General features: G+C 45.8%; 1 protein-coding gene and 1 pseudogene across 2 annotated transcripts in view, besides 6 other annotated features; both read right to left on the bottom strand.

The window, feature by feature from the left end:
* Positions 1-11324, bottom strand: part of EP400P1 (EP400 pseudogene 1) — a 42058-nt pseudogene extending 30734 nt beyond the window's left edge. Inside the window, exons 1-3 of the transcript NR_003290.2 lie at positions 11208-11324; positions 10291-10350; positions 4664-4758 (exon numbers count right to left, since the gene is read on the bottom strand). The product of NR_003290.2 is annotated as an EP400 pseudogene 1 (transcript). The remainder of the gene's footprint in view (positions 1-4663; positions 4759-10290; positions 10351-11207) is intronic.
* Positions 8993-9169: a silencer, noted in NCBI's record as "fragment chr12:132570983-132571159 (GRCh37/hg19 assembly coordinates)". NCBI's record gives its function as "represses an EF-1alpha promoter that drives an FKBP-Casp9 reporter gene in an ReSE screen in K562 erythroleukemia cells {active_cell/tissue: K562}" and the evidence as "EXISTENCE:reporter gene assay evidence [ECO:0000049][PMID:32094911]".
* Positions 9945-10805: an enhancer, noted in NCBI's record as "H3K27ac-H3K4me1 hESC enhancer chr12:132569347-132570207 (GRCh37/hg19 assembly coordinates)". NCBI's record gives its function as "activates a minimal SCP1, AML or CMV promoter by ChIP-STARR-seq in naive H9 embryonic stem cells {active_cell/tissue: H9 hESC(naive)}" and the evidence as "EXISTENCE:reporter gene assay evidence [ECO:0000049][PMID:30033119]".
* Positions 10354-10403: an enhancer, noted in NCBI's record as "active region_7374". NCBI's record gives its function as "activates an Ori minimal core promoter by ATAC-STARR-seq in GM12878 lymphoblastoid cells {active_cell/tissue: GM12878}" and the evidence as "EXISTENCE:reporter gene assay evidence [ECO:0000049][PMID:35858748]".
* Positions 11014-11463: a silencer, noted in NCBI's record as "silent region_5111". NCBI's record gives its function as "represses an Ori minimal core promoter by ATAC-STARR-seq in GM12878 lymphoblastoid cells {active_cell/tissue: GM12878}" and the evidence as "EXISTENCE:reporter gene assay evidence [ECO:0000049][PMID:35858748]".
* Positions 11484-11563: a silencer, noted in NCBI's record as "silent region_5110". NCBI's record gives its function as "represses an Ori minimal core promoter by ATAC-STARR-seq in GM12878 lymphoblastoid cells {active_cell/tissue: GM12878}" and the evidence as "EXISTENCE:reporter gene assay evidence [ECO:0000049][PMID:35858748]".
* Positions 12222-12723: an enhancer, noted in NCBI's record as "H3K4me1 hESC enhancer chr12:132567429-132567930 (GRCh37/hg19 assembly coordinates)". NCBI's record gives its function as "activates a minimal SCP1, AML or CMV promoter by ChIP-STARR-seq in primed H9 embryonic stem cells {active_cell/tissue: H9 hESC(primed)}" and the evidence as "EXISTENCE:reporter gene assay evidence [ECO:0000049][PMID:30033119]".
* The window catches only part of EP400 (E1A binding protein p400), a 130519-nt gene continuing 126925 nt past the window's right edge, over positions 15147-18740 (bottom strand). Inside the window, exon 53 of the mRNA NM_015409.5 lies at positions 15147-18206. Within this exon, the coding sequence (NP_056224.3) occupies positions 17934-18206 (273 nt within the window). The 3' untranslated portion in view covers positions 15147-17933. The remainder of the gene's footprint in view (positions 18207-18740) is intronic.

Below are 18740 nucleotides of genomic sequence, written 5' to 3'. Positions count from 1 at the left end.
AATTGAAATATAAAAAGAGATTTTTCCTGAAGAGAAAGGCTGAATAAAATTTTTTAAAAGATAGGTTGGATAGAAAAAGAAAAACAAAGCCAGGCGAGGTGGCTCATGCCTGTAATCCCAGCACTCTGGGAGGCCGAGGTGGGCGGATCACCTGAGGTCGGAAGTTCAAGACCAGCCTGACCAACACGGAGAAACCCCGTTTCTACTAAAAATACAAAACATTAGCCGGGCGTGGTGGCGCATGCCTGTAATCCCAGCTACTCAGGAGGCTGAGGCAGAAGAATCACTTGAACCTGGGAGGTGGAGGTTGCAGTAAGCCAAGATTGCACCACTGCACTCCAGCCTGGGCAACAAGAACAAAACTCCATCTCAAAAAAAAAAAAAAAAGAAAAGAAAAAAGAAAAAGATGTTTCCTGAAGAGAAAGGCTGAATAAAATTTTTTAAAAGATAAGTTGGATAGAAAAAGAAAAAAACAAGGCTGGGCACGGTGGCTCACACCTGTAATCCCAGCACTTTGGGAGGCTGAGATGGATGGATCACTTGAGGTCAGGAGTTCGAGACCAGCCTGGCCAACATGGTGAAACCCAGTCTCTACTAAAAGTACAAAAATTAGCTGGGCGTGGTAGCATATGCCTGTAATCCCAGCTACTCTGGAGGCTGAGGCAGGAGAATTCGCTTGAACCTGGGAGGCGGAGGTTGCAGTGAGCTGAGATAGCGCCAATGCACTCCAGCCTGGGCGACAGAGCAAGACTCCATCAAAAGAAAGAAGAGAAGAGAGGAGAGGGGAGGGGAGGGGGGAGGGGAGGGTCTTTTGCAGACCGGGGCCACCAAACAAAATAGGTAAAGGGAATGCACTCAAGTCTGCCTGATGGTCGGCGAGGCAGGAGACAGAGTCTCAGAGCCAGCTGGAACACTCCTCTAGAAGAGGCTTCCTGAGGGTGATGGCAGAAGGGAACCCAGGACAAGCAGCAGAGGCATGGCTCAAAGCCTGCAACTGGCGGGGACCCCGTTTGGAGGCGGCCAGCCTCAGCTGTGGAACCCGCTGAGGAAGGTTCTGCGTGAAACAAAGGTGGGCACAGGGGAGCTGGAGAGGACACACTCAGGCCCAGAAGCGCCGGCCACAGTCAGCCCCTCTCAAGCAGCTCTGCGTCCAGCCAGGCACACCCAGTCCCAAGGACACCTGGCAAGATTTTCAACTGCCCCCTCTCTCCGAGAGCCACAGTAGTACAGTCAACATTAAGCAAAACAAAATTCATGGCAAACACATAGAACAGGACAAAAAGAAGCCTTATGTCCCGATTAAAGCTGCAACTCGGCAGGGCATGTGATGGCACCTGTGGTCCCAGATACTTGGGAGGCTGAGGCAGGAAGATCACTTGAGCCTGGGAGCTGGAGACTGCTGTAAGCTATGATCATGCCACTGCACTCCAGCCTGGGTGACGGAGCAAGACCCTGTCTCTAAAATACACTAATACAATTTTAAAAAGTTTAAACTCACAAATTATACATGACATACATAAATCTTTATAAACCAACATTATAGCAACCAAATGCATGAAAACAAAATTTCCTAGGACAACCTGATTTTGAAACCAAAACCAAAAAAAAAAAGAAAAAAACCCACTTAGAATGAACGACTGTAAAACACCTCTTTCAAAACCTGATTGATCAAATCGGACAAAAATAAAGAATGGAATACAACGCAACAAAATAAGTAATATGCTTGTTATAAAACTTTGTACTTGGCCAGGCACGGTGGCTCACGCCTGTAATCCCAGCACTTTGAGAGGCTGAGGTGGGCAGATCATGAGGTCAGGAGTTCCAGACCAGCGTGGCCAACATGGTGAAACCCTGTCTCTACTAAAAGCACAAAAATTAGTCGGGCGTCGTGGCACATGCCTGTAGTCCCAGCTACTCGGGAGGCTGAGGCAGAAGAATCACTTGAACCTGGGAGGGGGAGGTTGCAGTGAGCTGAAATCACGCCACTGCACTCTAGCCTGGGTGACAGAGCGAGACTCGGTCTCAAACAAACAAACAAACAACTTTGTACTTGTGAAATTTTTATAGGCCATAAATAAAATATGCATTAAGTCCCCAAAATGAAGGTTATACATAACAAATTAATTATATTTTAGATGCCAAATTCATAAAACTAGAAATTCATCATAAAAATGACAAAGAGTAGTTGGAAGTTTTTAAAAACCACTAAATAATATCTGAACCAAAAAAAATTAAACATGAAATTACGAACTTCTCTAGAAAGTTAAAAAAACAAACAAAATATAGAGTATTTCTCTTTTAAAACCTATGGGAAACAAAGCTGTACTTTAAGAAAAAGTTACAGCTTTCAGTATTTTTATTATCAAAATAAAAGGCTGAAAATAAGTGTTCAATTTAAGAAAGTATACAAAAACTGAAAACAACAAAATGAAACAAACAAACAAAAGTAGTAGAAAGGCTAAATTAAACCAAAAACTGATTCTCTGGGAAAAATAAATAAAATGGATAAAGTCCAAGCAAGTCTGATTAATGAAAAAAGAAAAAATAAAAACAGACAAATGGGCCAGGCGCGGTGGCTCACGCCTGAAATCCCAGCACTTCAGGAGGCCGAGGCAGGCGGATCACGAGGTCAGGAGATCGAGACCATCCTGGCTAACACGGTGAAACCCCGTGTCTACTAAAAATACAAAAAATTAGCCGGGCGTGGTGGCGGGCGCCTGTAGTCCCAGCTACTCGGGAGGCTGAGGCAGGAGAATGGCGTTGACCCGGGAGGCGGAGCTTGCAGTGAGCTGAGATCGCACCACTGCACTCCAGCCTGGGCGACAGAGCGAGACTCCGTCTCAAAAAAAAAAAAAAAGAAAAAGAAAAAGAAAAAATCAAAAAGAAAATTAAATATCTATTGTTTTAAAAGACTCTAAGAGACAATGGAATTTTACTTAACTGAGCTCTAACCTTTAAAGCTCAAGTAATTCCTATGCTATTTAAATATTTCAAGTTTATGGAAAAAATAGAAATCTCTCTAATTCACTTTACGAAATTAGCATTTAATACCCAAACCTGACAGTACAAAAAAGCAATAAACTTATAAGAATTTTGCATATGCGTGGTATAAAAATTATTTTTAAAAATTCATAAATAGAACCGAGCATACACTCAAAGAAAAACACACTGACAAAGGGGAGTCAGTCCAGTAATTCAGGGAGTGGGCCAATATCAGGAAATCTACAAACTTCACCATCATTTTAAAGCTAAAAGCCACTAAATGAAAAAAATGATACAAAATTTAGCAGTTCTTCTGAATAATAATTCAAAGTAAAACACATATCAAAGGAAACAAATTGAACATAATGTTTTAAAAACTAGCTCCCAAAACTCAACAGCAATAATCATATTAAATGTTGATATGCAGAAACTAATTCCATTAAATCAGGAACACAAGGATGCAAATGTCACCATTTCTATGTAGCACTTCAACAGAGGTTTTAGCAGTTAAAAATAAAAAGAAACATGAACTAAGTAATGAGGGAAGGGAATATAATTTATTATTATTATTTACATATATATTTTTTAGAGATAGGGTCTCACTCTGTTGCCCAGGCTGAAGTACAGTGGCACAATCTTGGCTCACTGCAGCCCCGACCTCGCAGGCTCAAGTGATCCTCCCACCTCAGCCTCCCAAGTAGCTGGGACTACAGGCGCCCCCCACCACACCCGGCTAATTTTTTAATTTTTTGTAGAGACGGGGTTTTGTCATGTTGCCCAGGCTGGTCTCAAACTCCTGGGCTCAAGTGATCTTCCTGCCCCAACCTCCCAAAGTGCTGGGGTTACAGGCATGAGTCACCGCACCTGTCCTGAAATTATATTTATTTGTATATGATATAATTGTATGCCTACAATACCCACGAGACCAAAACTTGTAAGAATAACAATTTGGCCAGGCACAATGGCTCACACCTGTAATCCCAGCACTTTGGGAGGCTGAGGTGGGTAGATCGCCTGAGGTCAAGAGTTTGAGACCAGCCTGGCCAACATGGTGAAACCCCGTCTCTACTAAAAATACAAAAAATTAGTCAGGTGTGGTGGCGAGTACCTGTAATCCCAGGTACTCTGGAGGCTGAGGCAGGAGAATCGCTTGAACCTGGGAGGCAGAGGTTGCAGTAAGCCGACATTGCGCCACTGCACTCCATCCTGGGCGACAGAGTGAGACTCGGCCTCGAAAAAAAAAAAGAATAACAATTTTGTTGAGGTGCCTGCAATCAAGATAAATATACAAAAATCAACAGGCTTTTTTTTTATGTCAGCGATAGACAACTGAAATGGAAATTTTAAGATGTCCCATTCAAAGGCCACAAAAACTATAAAATACCAGTGTACATTTACCAAGTACATTTACCAAGTACATTACCAAGAAGTACATTTACCAAGAAGTACATTTACCAAGAAGAGAAATAAACTATATAATGTTAGTAAAGAACATTAAAAAATACATGAATAAGGCCGGGTGCGTTGGCTCACACCTGTAATCCCAGCACTTTGGGAGGCCAAGGCGGGCGATCACCTGAGGTTGGGAGTTCGAGACCAGCCTGACCAACATGGAGAAACCCCCATCTCTACTAAAAAAAACAAACAAAAAACAAAATTAGCCAGCTGTGGTGGCACATACCTGTAATTGCTACTCAGGAGGCTGAGGCGGGAGAATCGCTTGAACCTGGGAGACGGAGGTTGTGGTGATCCAAGATTGCGCCACTACACTCCAGCCTGGGCAATAAAAGCAAAACTCCGTCTCAAAAAAACACGAATAAAATGAAGCAACATACCATGTTCCAGAATAAGATTTACTATCATAAAATGTCATGCCTTCACAACTGAACATATACATGTAATGCAATTCCAAAGAGGATTACAATGAGTTTGGGTTTTGTTTTGCTTTAGAAATAAGAAAAAAATTAGCTTAAAGCTCAATGAAGTGATATGTTTTTAAAGAGACAGTGCTTTTTTGAAAAACATAAGAATACTGACAAAATAAAAGAAAAACAAAATAGTAGAATTCCTGACTTAGGAAAATAGTCATACTTATTCTAGAGCTTCTGTAATAAAAAAGCAATGTAGGTATATACAGCTATTGTGTAGCCATAAAAATTTAAAGTTTAAACTAAAAAAAAGTAGCATGCTCTTGGCCTCCCAAAGTACTAGGATTACAGGTGTGAGCCACCATGCCCAGCCTGAAATTATCTTTATTTGCAAATGATATAATTCCATGCCTACAAAATCCGAGACAAAAACTTATAAGAATACTTCGAATTCGGTGAAGTGTCTGTAATCAAGATAAACATACAAAAGCCAACAGGTTTTTATGGAAAAAAGAAAAAGAGGAAAGAAAAAGGAAAAAGATTAAAAATGTATAGATACTTTAATGGTAGTGGCATTGGGAGAAAATATCTGCAAACCATACATTTAATAAGGGGCTAATATCCAAAATATATAAGGAACTGAAACCACTCCATAGCATGAAAACAACCTAATTTAAAAATGGGCAAAAGACCTAAATAGACATATCTCAAAAGAAGATATACAAATAGCCAACAAATACATGAAAAAAGGCTCATCATCACTAACCATCAGGGAGATGCAAAGCAAAACCACAATGAGATTATCACCTCACAACTGCTAGGATAGCTATTACCAAAAAGACAAAAGATAGTTAAGTGTTGGCGAGGATATGGAGAAAGGGGAACCCTTGTGCACTGTTGGTAAGAATGTAATTAGTACAGCCATTATAGAAAACAGTCCGAAGCTTCCTCAAAAAAATAAAAATAGAATGAAGATATGATCCAGCAATCCCACTTCTGGGTGCACAGCCAAAGGAAACAAAATCAGGATGTTGAATAGTTATCTGTACTCACATGTTGATGGCAGCATTATTCACAGTAGCCTGGGTACCCATCATCAGATGAATGATTTTAAAAAGTGTGGTATATATACAACACAAAGGAATAGTATACAGCCATTAAAAAAATAAGGAAATTCTGTCATTTGCAAGGACATGGATGAGCCTGGAGGACACTGTGCTGAGTAAAATAAGGCAGGCTCAGAAAGATAAATACCACATGATCTCACTTACACGTGGAATCTAAAAAGGTTGAACTCATAGAAACAGAGAGAACAGTGGTTACTGGGGCCGGGGGGTGGGGGAAAAAGGGAAGGGGGATATTGATCAAAGGGATCAATTTCAGTTAGATAGAAAGAGTAAGTTTTAGTGATCTATTGCAGAGGATGATAATTATAATAAATACGAATGCATTGTATATTTCAAAATTTCTGAAAGAGTAGATTTTAAATATTTTCACCACATAAAAATGGTGTGTGAGGTGATGGGTTTGTTAATGAGCACAATTTCATCATTCTGTAATATAAACACATTAAGACATCACGTTCTTCATAAATATATAATATATACAACAATTATTTATCAATTAAAAATTAAGGCCAGGCATGGTGGCTCACGCCTGTAGTCCCAGCACTTTGGGAGGCTGAGGTGGGCAGATCCCTTGAGGCCAGCAGTTCAAGACCAGCCTGGGCAACAGGGCAAAACCCTGTCTCTACTAAAAATACAAAAATTAGCTGTGCACTTGTGGTCCCAGCTACTCAGGAGGCTGAGGTGGGAGAATTGCTTGAGCCCGGGAGATCAAGCTTGCAGTGAGCCAAGATTGTGTCACTGCACTCCAGCCTGGGTGACAGAGTGAGACTCTGTTTCAAAAAACTTTCCTTTAAAATTTTTAATTACATTAAAATAAGAAAAAGAAATGGTAGTAGCATCTAGGGGGGAAAAGGTTATCCCCTACCTTACACCATTTCAATCAGAATAAATAACTAAATGTTATCATGGAAGGAAGAGGAGGCAGGGAGGAAAGGAGGAAAACACCCCTACCTCATACCATTTCAGTCAGAATAAAGAACTAAATGTTATCCTGGAAGGAAGGAAGAGGAGGCAGGGAGGAAAGGAGGAAAACACCCCTACCTCATACCATTTCAGTCAGAATAAAGAACTAAATGTTATCCTGGAAGGAAGGAAGAGGAGGCAGGGAGGAAAGGAGGAAAACACTTTATTGGAATAATATTTCGGGGACTATCTCTACAACTGCGAGGTGGTGAAAGCTTCTTAATAAGTAATGCAGGAAACCCAGATGCTGTAAAGGAAAAAATACATGACTACATAAAAGATGTTTTAAACAAGATCAAAAGACAAAAAATAATTAGCAGAAAAATACATGCAATATTTTATTACTTCAAAGGGTAAATATCCCTGTTATCCAAAGAGTTTGGCTGGTTGCGGTGGCTCACACCTGTAAGTGCAGCACTTTGGGAGGCCAGGGCAGGCAGATCACTTGAGGTCAGGAGTTTGAGACCAGCCTGGCCAATATGGTGAAATCCCATCTCTACTAAAAAATACAAAAATTAGCCAGGTGTGGTGGTGCCCGTCTGTAATCCCAGCTACTCTGGAGGCTGAGGCGGGAGAATCACTTGAACCTGGGAGGCGGAGGTTGCAATGAGCCGAGATCACACCACTGCACTCCAGCCTGGGCGACACAGCAAGACTCCATCTCAAAAAAGAGCTACTATAAAATAGTTAAAAAAAAAAAAGAAAAGAAAAGAAAAGGAAACCTCTCCAGGAAATGGGGAAGAACACAATGGAAAACTTCAGAAGAGGCACTGCCAATGGGCCAGTCCACGAAGTGCAGCACACGGCGCCAGCAGGACATGGCAGCACCCATTCAACAGGCAGTATGTCAGACGGGAGCAAAGCGTCCTCCCCTTCATGGCTTCAGGAATGTAACTTTGCTATAACTTTGGGAATAGATCTCTCAATAACTATTGAAATTTAAATGTTAAATATGCATACCCTTTGACCCACTAACACCATTTAGCTCCCCTTCATGGGAATCTAGCCTGTAGAAATGAAAGAAAGTGTCAGGACCCATGCATAGGAATGTGTCTCTCAGTACAAACTGTGGCAAAAAAACAGACACAAAATGAAATCCATCAATGGGGAATGGTTGACTAAATATGTTGTATCCTCAGTACGGACTATTATGTAAACATAAAAAGAATAAATTTTTGCCTGTAATCCCAGCACTTTGGGAGGCTGAGGCAGGCAGATCACAAGGTCAGGAGATCGAGACCATCCTGGCTAACACAGTGAAACCCCGTCTCTACTAAAAATACAAAAAATTAGCCAGGCATGGTGGTGGGTGCCTGTAGTCCCAGCTACTCGGGAGGCTGAGGCAGGAGAATGGCGTGAACCCGGGAGGCGGAGCTTGCAGTGAGCTGAGATCGCGCCACTGCACTCCAGCCTGGGCGACAGAGCGAGACTCCGTCTCGAAACAAAAAAAAAAAAAAAAAAGAGAATAAATTTTTATTTCCTGACATGAGCAGATGTTGAAGACATATTACTAACTGAAATGGAAAAAAAGATGGAGGGTGTTATTACAGCACAAAAGGACTGAAAAGGACTTATTTTTCTGTATTGTTTGAATTCTTATGAGGGTACATTTTGTAACATCAAAAAGCAAATTAAAAATATGGCTCATTCCAAGGTACAAAAAATTACTCTGGCAAATCAAAGTTTTTCAAAGTATCTTCAGACTCAAAGAAGTCAAAAAATAAGCTGGACACAGATAGACACTATTTGTTCCTGTAGCAGCTGGAAACCACAGTGAAAGGGCGTTGGCTTTTCCTCCTTAGAAGGGCCTCAGCACCTGACTTTGGAGAGAGCCCATTCTTTGCCATTTTTCCTCTACATGGTGGTTGTCAATGGACTCTTAGGGGACCAAGAATCACTTTACAACATTCTGTTCTCCTATTCAAAATGGGTCATGCTCCATACTTCTCAGAGTCATCACCCAAAATCATACATTTCAATGCTTTTTCAAACATGTGAATACCACCCAGAAAATTCGTAAGCATGCCATTATCCTCCAGGCCCTTTATTACATGATCACCATCATTAAAGTCCTAACACTTAACCATTTTGTAGTAGTTATGACAACTGTTACCTTAACAGTGAACAGATCAGATGACAACGTATCCATGGCCAGGTGGGACGATGTGGACCCAGGAGGACCTAAAATCATGGCCAAGAGACCTCTGCACCACATGCTGACTCTGTAAGGCCATCTCTCCTTGAGTGCTAGGTATTGTTGAAGGAGGGAGTTTCTACTTGTCTCTACTGTGACTGAACATGAAGTACAGACTTTTATAAGTAATATATATATTTTTTGAGACGGAGTTTCGATCTTGTTGCCCAGGCTGGAGTGCAGTGGTGTGATCTCAGCTTACCACAACCTCCGCCTCCTGGGTTCAAGCGATTCTCCTGCTTCAACCTCCCAAGTAGCTGGGATTACAGGCAAGCACCACCACACCTGGCTGATTTTTTTTGTATTTTTAGTAGAGACGGGTTTCTCCATGTTGGTCAGGCTGGTCTCGAACTCCCGACCTCAGGTGATCTGCCCGCCTCAGCCTCCCAAAGTGCTGGGATTACAGGCATAAGCCACCACACCCAGCATAAATAATAATTTTTAAAAGTGCATTAGTTTAGCAAAAACGTGACAGGGATGTCAGTGAAACACCTTTGTGTTACAACTGTCATTTTGTACACCTTGGACAATTCCATTCAACGAACAATTTAGTTAGTTTTGAAGTCTCAATAACATAGTCAGAAAAGAAACTGCTGTAATCTCCCCTTATCCATGGATTCAGTAACCCTCGGTGAACTGCAGTTCAAAAACATGTGCGTACAATACAGTAAGATATTTTAGGAGAGAGACATCACTTTCACATGACTTTTATTACAGTATATTGTTACGACTGTTCTATTTTATTATTAGCTGTTATTAATCTCTTCCTGTGCCTAGTTTATGAATTAAACTTTATCGTAGATATGGAAGGATGCATAACAAAACAGTGTATATAGTGTTCACTACTATCCTTGATTTCAGGCATCCATTGAGGGTGTTGGACCGTATCCCCTGAAGATAAGGTGGGGCGACTGCACGTGGATTGAGAGGTGCCCTCACTGCTGCAGAGCTGTGGTAACAACACTCACTTGTGGTTCCCAGACAAGACTCTATCTGGTCGTGAGCCCCCAACAGCCAGTGGTACTGCTGTCCAATCTGACAGATGGAAACCAGCGCCAATCAGCCTGCCTGGAGCGGCACAAATAAGCCTAAGACTCAAACTTTCAGCCAGTTAACTGTAAGTAAACCAACTTTTTGGTAAGGAGGAAATACTCACCCAGCTCTTGGGCAAGATAAGTGTCTTTATTATAAAAGGCGTCAATTCGCAGCGTCTTTACTGTAAAGGTGGTGGTATTATTAGATTCTTCCTTTCCACTAACACAAAACTCCCAGTGCCGGAAGGCCCTTGTCAGGAGCAGGACCCGCGGAGGGGTCCGTGGTCAGTTCTGGGACAGCTGCCGAGCAGCGCAGCGCGTGGAATCAACTTCACTGCTCACGTGCAGCGCACACTAAGCGCACTCGTCTTTCCTGGAGTGCAGACCAGGCCCCGACCTCAGGGATCAGGACAGCGGGGCCAAGGGGTCAAGAGGCAGAGGCGGCGTCAGCGCCGTAGACAGCGGTCTCGCGAGGCTGGAACCAGGCGGGCGGCAGTGACGGGGGTGGGCACCAGGGGACTGGGTGAAGGGTCATGAGGGGAGGGGCGGTTACCGGGCCAGACGGTCACAGGGATCGTGTCACCGGGGAAGGGCTGGGAGGTCGGGGGTTTGTGTCACGGGATGGGGGGGAGCGGTCACCAGAAAACGGGGTGATGCGGGAGAGGGGGCGGAGGAGGGAAGGCGGGAAAACGGCAGTTGCCAGGTGGCGGGGGGAGGGGTCGCAGGGGGAGGGGTGGGCGCTCACGGGCGCAGGGTCACCGAGGGATGGGTGGGCGTTTGCGGGGGGTCATGTCACGGGGGAGTGTTCACTGAGGGAGGTGGGCGTTCACGGGGGATCGTGTCACGGGGAGGGGGTCCCTGAGGGAGGGGTGGGCGTTCGCTCAGCCGGGGTCACCGGGTGATGGGACGGAGAGAGGGGAGCGCGCGGCCGGGGAGCCTCGAGGGTAACCGGCGGATGTGGGCGGTCGGGGGCCGAGGGTAGGGCCAACCCCTCACGCCCGCCACAGCCCCGGCAGCGGATACGCGGGCCGTCACTCACCGCGGCTGCCGGGCGACGCAGCCAAGGGCTCCCGGCGCGGATGAGCGCTGCGACAGCGGACCGGGCGGCGAGGCCACTACAACCGACCAAACCGACCGGCCGACGCGGAGCCAGTGCGCAAGCGCGGGAGCCGGCCCGGCACTGCGCAGGCGAGGCTCGGACCAATCAGCGCCCAGCGGACCCGGAGGGACGTGGCGGAGGGGGCGGGGCGGAGGGGGCGGGGCGGATAGGGCCGGGCCTCGGTCCGCGCCGGCGCGCGCCTCTGGCTCCGCCCGGAACTAGTTTGTTCATTCATTCGCACGTGGGCACTGAGTTGTATTTGCCCGCCCTCCCGCCGGACACCTGCTGAGCGCTGGTCACACTGACAAGCACAGCTAGCGGCTCCCCTCGCGGGCCCTACAGTCTAGGCGGGGAGGATAGATAAACATGCAGTTAGAAGAGCACCAGGCAAAGCAGCCGGGATGGGGCAGGCTGAGGTCTGTTTTAAATTGGGCAGGGGAGTCGGGGTGCCTAGGGAGATGAGATGTTACGTGGGATCCGAAGATCCACAAGACTCTTGCCTGTGACCACTGAAATGGTGGGACATGTCCCTGGTTTCGTCGTGTCCACTGTAGACGGGTGAGCTTTGGAGCTGTGCATCAGGCGCCTTCCACTGCATAACCTGCCCATCTATTTAAGAGTGAAACCCGTATCACTTACCACCTGTCCATTTCTTCATGGTACTTATCCCCTGAATTATTTTATCTGACCTGCTAGGATGCAACCCCCTTTTTTATTTTGCTGGCAAGTATAGCCTAGTTGTCTAAACTGCCACATAGTATGTACTTTATAAACAGCTGAATAAACCAGTAATTCATCCATCTCTCTGATCAGCTTTTTTTTTTTTTTTTTTTTTTTTTTTGAGACGGAGTCTCGCTCTGTCGCCCAGGCTGGAGTGCAGTGGCGCGATCTCGGCTCACTGCAAGCTCCGCCTCCCGGGTTCACGCCATTCTCCTGCCTCGGCCTCCCCAGTAGCTGGGACTACAGGCGCCCGTCACCACGCCCGGCTAATTTTTTGTATTTTTAGTAGAGACGGGGTTTCACGGTGTTAGCCAGGATGGTCTCGATCTCCAGATCTCGTGATCCGCTCGCTTCGGCCTTCCAAAGTGCTGGGATTACAAGTGTGAGCCACCGTGCCCGGCCAGCTTTGATTTTCTTAAACAGCCAAGTGTTGTCCTTCCGCCACTCCAGCACTAGTGGTAAAGTTGGCATGAAATATGCTACATTAAATATTCATTGAATAGGGATAAAACAGAGCCACACTACAGCTGGAGAAATAAGACAAATACTGTTGTTCAGCCCAAGATACTACTGGAGGAGAACACTGGGGAGAAATGAATAAATGAATGAATGAATGGATGCACACTTAGTTAAGTGGGAGTAGTCTTCAAAGTAGGAGAAATACTTTACAACAAAGGAGACGAGCACAAAGTCAGGGAGACAGGAAAGGCTGCACAGGGGGCAGAACGATGCTGCTCTGGGGGCTGGTCGGAGTGTAGGTGGCTACACAAGATCAGGCAGGAGGTCGGAAATAAAGGTTCCCGAGTAGGGGACCATGTGACAAAAAAGCTGATAGGGCCTTATTTTAAAAATTAATTCATGGCCGGGTGCGGTGGCTCACACCTGTAATCCCAGCAATCTGGGAGGCCGAGGCGGGCGGATCACTTGAGCCCAGGAGTTCGAGAACAGCCTGGCCAACATGGTGAAAGCCCATCTCTACTAAAAATACAAAAATTAGCCAGGCATGGTGGTGCGCGCCTGTAATCCCAGCTACTTGGGAGGCTGAGGCAGGAGAATCGCTTGAACCTAGGAGGCAGAGGTTGCAGTGAGCTGAGATCACGCCACTGCACTCCAGCCTGGGCGACAGAGTGAGTGAGACTGTCCCCACCCCCACCCCGCCCCCACCACACAAAAATTCATGCACTTGGCAAACTACCTGAACAGTTAAAAGGACGCGCATAACAGTGCAGATCAGCAGCCTTGATCCTTGCCCCCCAGTCTCTCCCTCCACAGAGGCAGTGCTAACACAACGTACAATCGTCCCTCAGCACCTCCCATGGATGCCAAACTCCGAGAGGCTCAAGCCCCTGATGCAAAATGCATATAACTCAAAAACATCTTTTTAAAATCATCTCTGGGTTACTTACAATAGTGAATGCAATGTAAATGTCATGTAAATAGTTGTTATGCAGCATTGTTTAGGAAATAATAACCCCCCCAAAACAAGGTCTGTATATGTTCAGTATAGACACATTTTTGTTTCTGAATATTTTTGCTCCTTGGTCGGTTGAACTCATGGACGTAGAATCCACCACATGCAGGGGCAAATACTTCCAGGATATTCTATGCACATCCAGGCATACAACCAGTTCCATCCTGGTAGCATACTTCACAAACTCATCCCCCAGCACAGCTGTACTTTGTAGAGGCTGCACTGCATTCCACCGAATGTATATAGCATAATCTACCCAATAAAATGGGAACTTTAGAAAAATTAGGGGAATAGATGCTGCAGCAACAGCATAGCAGGGCACCCTATGGCAAAGGAATCTCCCCTCCCATTGCCCTGGATCACAATGCCCAACTCTGGGGTGTTGGTGGGCAGCTGTCACACGATCTGACATCTCGAGTAGGAGGTGACACAACACACTCCGGGCTCAGAAGCTACCTTAAGGTCTTGACGGCTGTGCGCAGGCACAATTGCTTCACCCACTGGCCCCTGGTCGCTACTGGACAGCAAACAGAAACACAGCTTCCAGGCCAGATAAGCCCGCCATAGGGCCTGCTGCCACAGGCACACTTGGCAAAGACGTGATGGTAGGGTCAGGATGACAGAAACAGTAGGCTTTGCAAAACCTGCAGTCCTCTTCGTTGGGAGTATAAAAGACAGACACCAAGTGCAGCACCCAACATTGGACTGGATCCTCAAGCCACCTTAGGAGAGGGGACATGGGGACACAGAGGCCCTGAAGGAGGAAGTCACCTGCCCCTGGTTATGTGGCTGGTAGGCATGGAGCCGCAGGTGCACCAGGCACTGCAGTACAGACCCCCAGAGGCCAGGGAGCACCAGCCGGGCTTTGCAGCTGGCTTTCTCGCCCACCCTGGTATCTGCACTATCACCTGCAGACACGAAGTGTGCAACCAGACCCTGGGAGCTTTCAATCTGGAAGACCGGAGGTGGAAGCCCAAAGCTGCAGGGCCAAGTGCCCGTGCACCCCCGTTTTTGTGGTGGGAGAAAAGATACAGAAACTAAGGGGCTTCTGGGATGCTTCTTTACTTTGCGTAATGTGTGCGTTTTCAATTAAAAGTGTACGTTGATTTTTGTAATCAGATTTAAAACGAAACGAAGAAAAGTCTAAAAGCAGAAGAAAAAGAGAAGCAACAACTCGCAGGCCATCTGCTCACAGGCGTTTTCGGTGGTGAGCACCTGTGAGCCGGTGTCCCTGCCCTTACTTGGGCACACAGACTGGGTGTGGAAGGACACTGGTGCCAGTTGGGCACACAGACTGGGTGTGGAAGGACACTGGTGCCAGTTGGGCACACAGACTGGGTGTGGAAGGACACTGGTGCCAGTTGGGCACACAGACTGGGTGTGGAAGGACACTGGTGCCAGTGTGGCCCCCAGGACATTGACGACGGGTGCTGTGAGGGTGGCAGGCCACATGGGGCAGGGCGGTGCCAGCTCTTTCCTCCACGTGCGGCTTTGGGAAGCGGCTGCCTGGTGGACTTGGTGAATGTGATTTCTGTTCCTTCCAGGTCCTTCTATGGCCACGGAAGAGTGGGTGAGGGGAACACCTCTGGCTCCAACATTACTTGTTGGTTTTTTCTTCACACAAATGAAAAATTCAGCATCTCATTTAACTTAAATACCAGTTTTCTATGAAAGACAAAATGAAAAAATATATAAAAAGGTCACTTTATTTTGCCTTTTGTTTGGTATGCTATCAATGCCCTTTAAAATCCTACTATTCAAGTACAAATGCTGATGTTTACAAAGTATTTACAATTTTAGTCTTGTTCCTTTCTATCTTAAAACACAACAGCTAACTGGTTACAACAGTTAACAAAATAATAATAATAAAGGTCACAAAAAGAGAAACCCCTGTCTTATCAGGCACCAAATCTGAACAAGGGCTTGGATCCAACCTTCTGCTTCCCGCCAGGTGCTTTAAAAACAGTCTGGCTAACTGTTTTTATCATCAGAATAAACGTCTTTCTTTAAAGAATAGCAGGGCAACTGTTTCCCAGGGTCGCCAATTAGAGTCTGACAGTGTTCGGGCTGCTGCCTTTATAGTCTGTGTTCTCAAAGTTTCCAACTCTTACTTGCCGTATTGGAATGAACCCAGATTCACAAGGGGAAGGCCTAGACAACAGCTTCCTGAACGCGTACTTAATTCTTAGGTTAGAAACTTTAACCTTTAAAAGGGAAGGCCAAGAAAATAACACACTAAAAGGAGAGTTTTTACGTACACGACTAAATGAATTTAACTCAGGTCAACGGTAGCATCTAGAAGTTACTAAATTGAGTGCTACGAGTAAAAATATGTCCGTGTTTTGTATTAGGGAACAGCCAAAGGAAACACACTTGAGAGACAGGAGACCCTCACTGACGTGAGATCGGGGCGGAAACTCCACATTGCAAATATTCAGAATCCCATTAAGCTCTCCAAAAAAGCATTTGAGAGATGGTGTTAAATTCTCTTGTAGTGTTTTAGATTAATAGAGCGCTTTTACTTAGACAGTTATGTCTAGGATATTCTAAAATAAGTGCACTCAACATTTTATCTTCAACTATAAGGAGACTACCAAGATTTGGGAAAGACAAAAAAAATGAACAGGGCACACAAATTAAAACAAATGACAAAGGCAGAATTCCTAGATACTTCAGTTCTATCACATCTGCGGATGAGGAGGAGTAAAAGTTTCCACTGGGAGCCAGATGTGAGGCGCACACAGCGGCCCTCCCTCCGGCAAGCTGCGCTCTCACGGCACGTGCCAAGCCAGGGAGAACGGGTTGGTTAGAACAAACAGATTCCAGTCCTCTGCTTTGGTATGTTCAACTAACTAAAAGATTAATTTCTTCTGTTTCTTCAAAGCTTGGTTTTTACTTTTCTCCACATTTCTTATCAAGAGCTCAAGTGAGCTCCCCAGTTGATTTCACTGACTCCTGCTGTATCGCTGTCCACAGAAACCTGTGGGACAGAATACCTTCCTCAATGTCACTTAAAGTGAGAGAATGGGGAGGAAGCAGATGAAATACAATTTAAAAACAGAAAATCTTTATTGTGCCATAACTGATTTTTAGTATACAAAAAACCTAATATAACCTAATTTCCTGGACCAAATAATGTAAAATAGGCCAAAATCAAGCCACAGCACAAAGGATACTATTGGATATGGACCTTTTTGCTTTGGTGAAAACTTCAAAGTAAGGAGACACTGTCAATCAATTCCACTAAAATTGCATTTATTTTCCTGTCATAGTAAAAAAAGGAAAAACAGTAGCAAATACTGGGCTTCGTTTTCCCCCTCAACGGCACGCCTTCCACAACAGCACAGGTGGTTCTCTGCTTCACTGGCAGAACCACACAAGCTTATCCTAGAGAAAATCTGCTGTCGTAAGTCCACAAGGAAGAGTTGACTGGGCCCACCGCTATAGCCAATACTTCCAGAATCACCAGCCCACCTTCGTCAAAGGGCTGACTGTGGCAGCAAGGGGTGTCTGTCACATTCGTCCTGGCTCACTGAGCCCAGGCCTCATCGTACCCTCAGCTGTGACATCTGTACTACCATTGCCTCTGCGTGGTCCTCTGGGCCTCACGCCAGCCATGGCAGAGTGTCCCAAAGGTTCTCAGGAGCTGTTTAACACACTATGTCAAATACCAGCTTCCCCCGAAAACTGGAGATGCGTCTTGAGTGCACTGAGTTGGGCATCAGTCCCAGAAGTTTCCATTAAATGAAAGCGAATCCCATTGCAGGGTAGGGCCTGGGGGAGGCCACTGTTGGCTGCTCTTTGGAATAACAATGCAATGACTGATCATTTCCCTTGAACACAGGCCAGGAACGTGCCTTGTGTGTTTAGGTGGGTGTCAGAACATTTCTCTTAAAAGTTAAGTCATATTTTAGGAGGGAAGGAAGGAACCATATTGCCTTTCTTTGGAATGGAAAACCCATCTCGGATGATTGACTTTAGACAGGCCTTCCCCTCTGCGAAGACCACGAGGCATTTTTCAGTAAGGTATAAAGAACTAAACTCTGGCAGACACTGTGGAAGCCCACGCCTTATCTTTAGAAAGTCCATTGTATGCTCCTCACACACGGCAGACGGCTTCTGTGGCGTGCAAAGCACTACATGCTCACAAAGAAATTCTAAATGGCTTTCAGAACACAGTACTATGGCTCTAGGGGACGGGTGCGGGTGGGGACTGAAAGGTGAAATGATTTAGAGGAAGCCATGTTGTCACTTTTTCCATGAGCCACGTAGTACAGAGAACGCGGCACTCCATAAGGACCATTTGTCCTGCAGTGTGGGATGCATTTTAATAAAATGATTACACTATTTTGTTTCAATTATATCTTTCCCAGTGCTGAATCTCTTGCGTGACATGGTCCCAAGGTTCACTAATAAAGCGTTTTCTGTGAGGAAGGTAGTTTTGCTTTAGATGAGAGGCAGCCCTGCTGCCCTGACTACTGGCACGGAGGCTTAGTAGGTGTCTTTAGCCTGACAGCAGGGACCCTCATCTGTAACTTGGGCTGCTGGCTTGGGCTGTCGGAGCTGGCGGGCACCTGGGCTGGGTTGGGAGCGCCTGGAGTCTGGAGCGGGGCCGACGCCGTGGTCACCACCTGCTGCTGAATGAGTTTCTGCTGAACCACCTGGGCAGTCGCGGTCACTGCAGGGATCATCTGCACCTGCTGCCCGGCCGCCGTCGCCTGCGTGAGCGCCACAGTCTGTGGAGAAGCCTGAGCCGAGAGAGTCAGAAAACACACATTGCCCAGGAAACTCAGTCCAGGGACAGGAAAATGGACGTTCTTTGGGATGGGGAGGACTCGAGAAACTTCACTGACTATGCTTTTATGACACGGAAGAATGACCAGTCACACAACAGTATGACCTCTGGTTTCCAATTAAACACAAGTGGAAAATTAAAAGATGGTTGCTTTTAGACTAACACCAGATGCCTCTTGGGAAAAGGGTGAGAGCTGGGTCAGGGACTGATTTTGTTGTTGTAGTAAAGCTTTTAATAGAGTTTGGTTTCTTGAAATCTATATGCCAGTGTGACTTTAAACAAAATTTAGAAAGTTTAAAGCACCGCTTTACATTTAAAGCACTGTGCTAAAGAGTCATATTGTGGAGCATCAGTGACAACAGTGAAAGCGCCTGAAGGGCTTCTGTGGGAGGCAAGGCCACTGTGCCCACAGCGCCTCTGCTCAAGGGCGGGCCCCGAGCGGAGCCTGCTTGCCTGAGGCCTGTGCCTCCCTAAAACCACAGGGCAG

This window comes from Homo sapiens, chromosome 12 (assembly GCF_000001405.40).
Source record: "Homo sapiens chromosome 12, GRCh38.p14 Primary Assembly".
NCBI lineage: Eukaryota > Metazoa > Chordata > Mammalia > Primates > Hominidae > Homo > Homo sapiens.
Note: the sequence above shows the minus strand (reverse complement) of the source record. Positions and strands in the feature narration are given on the sequence as shown.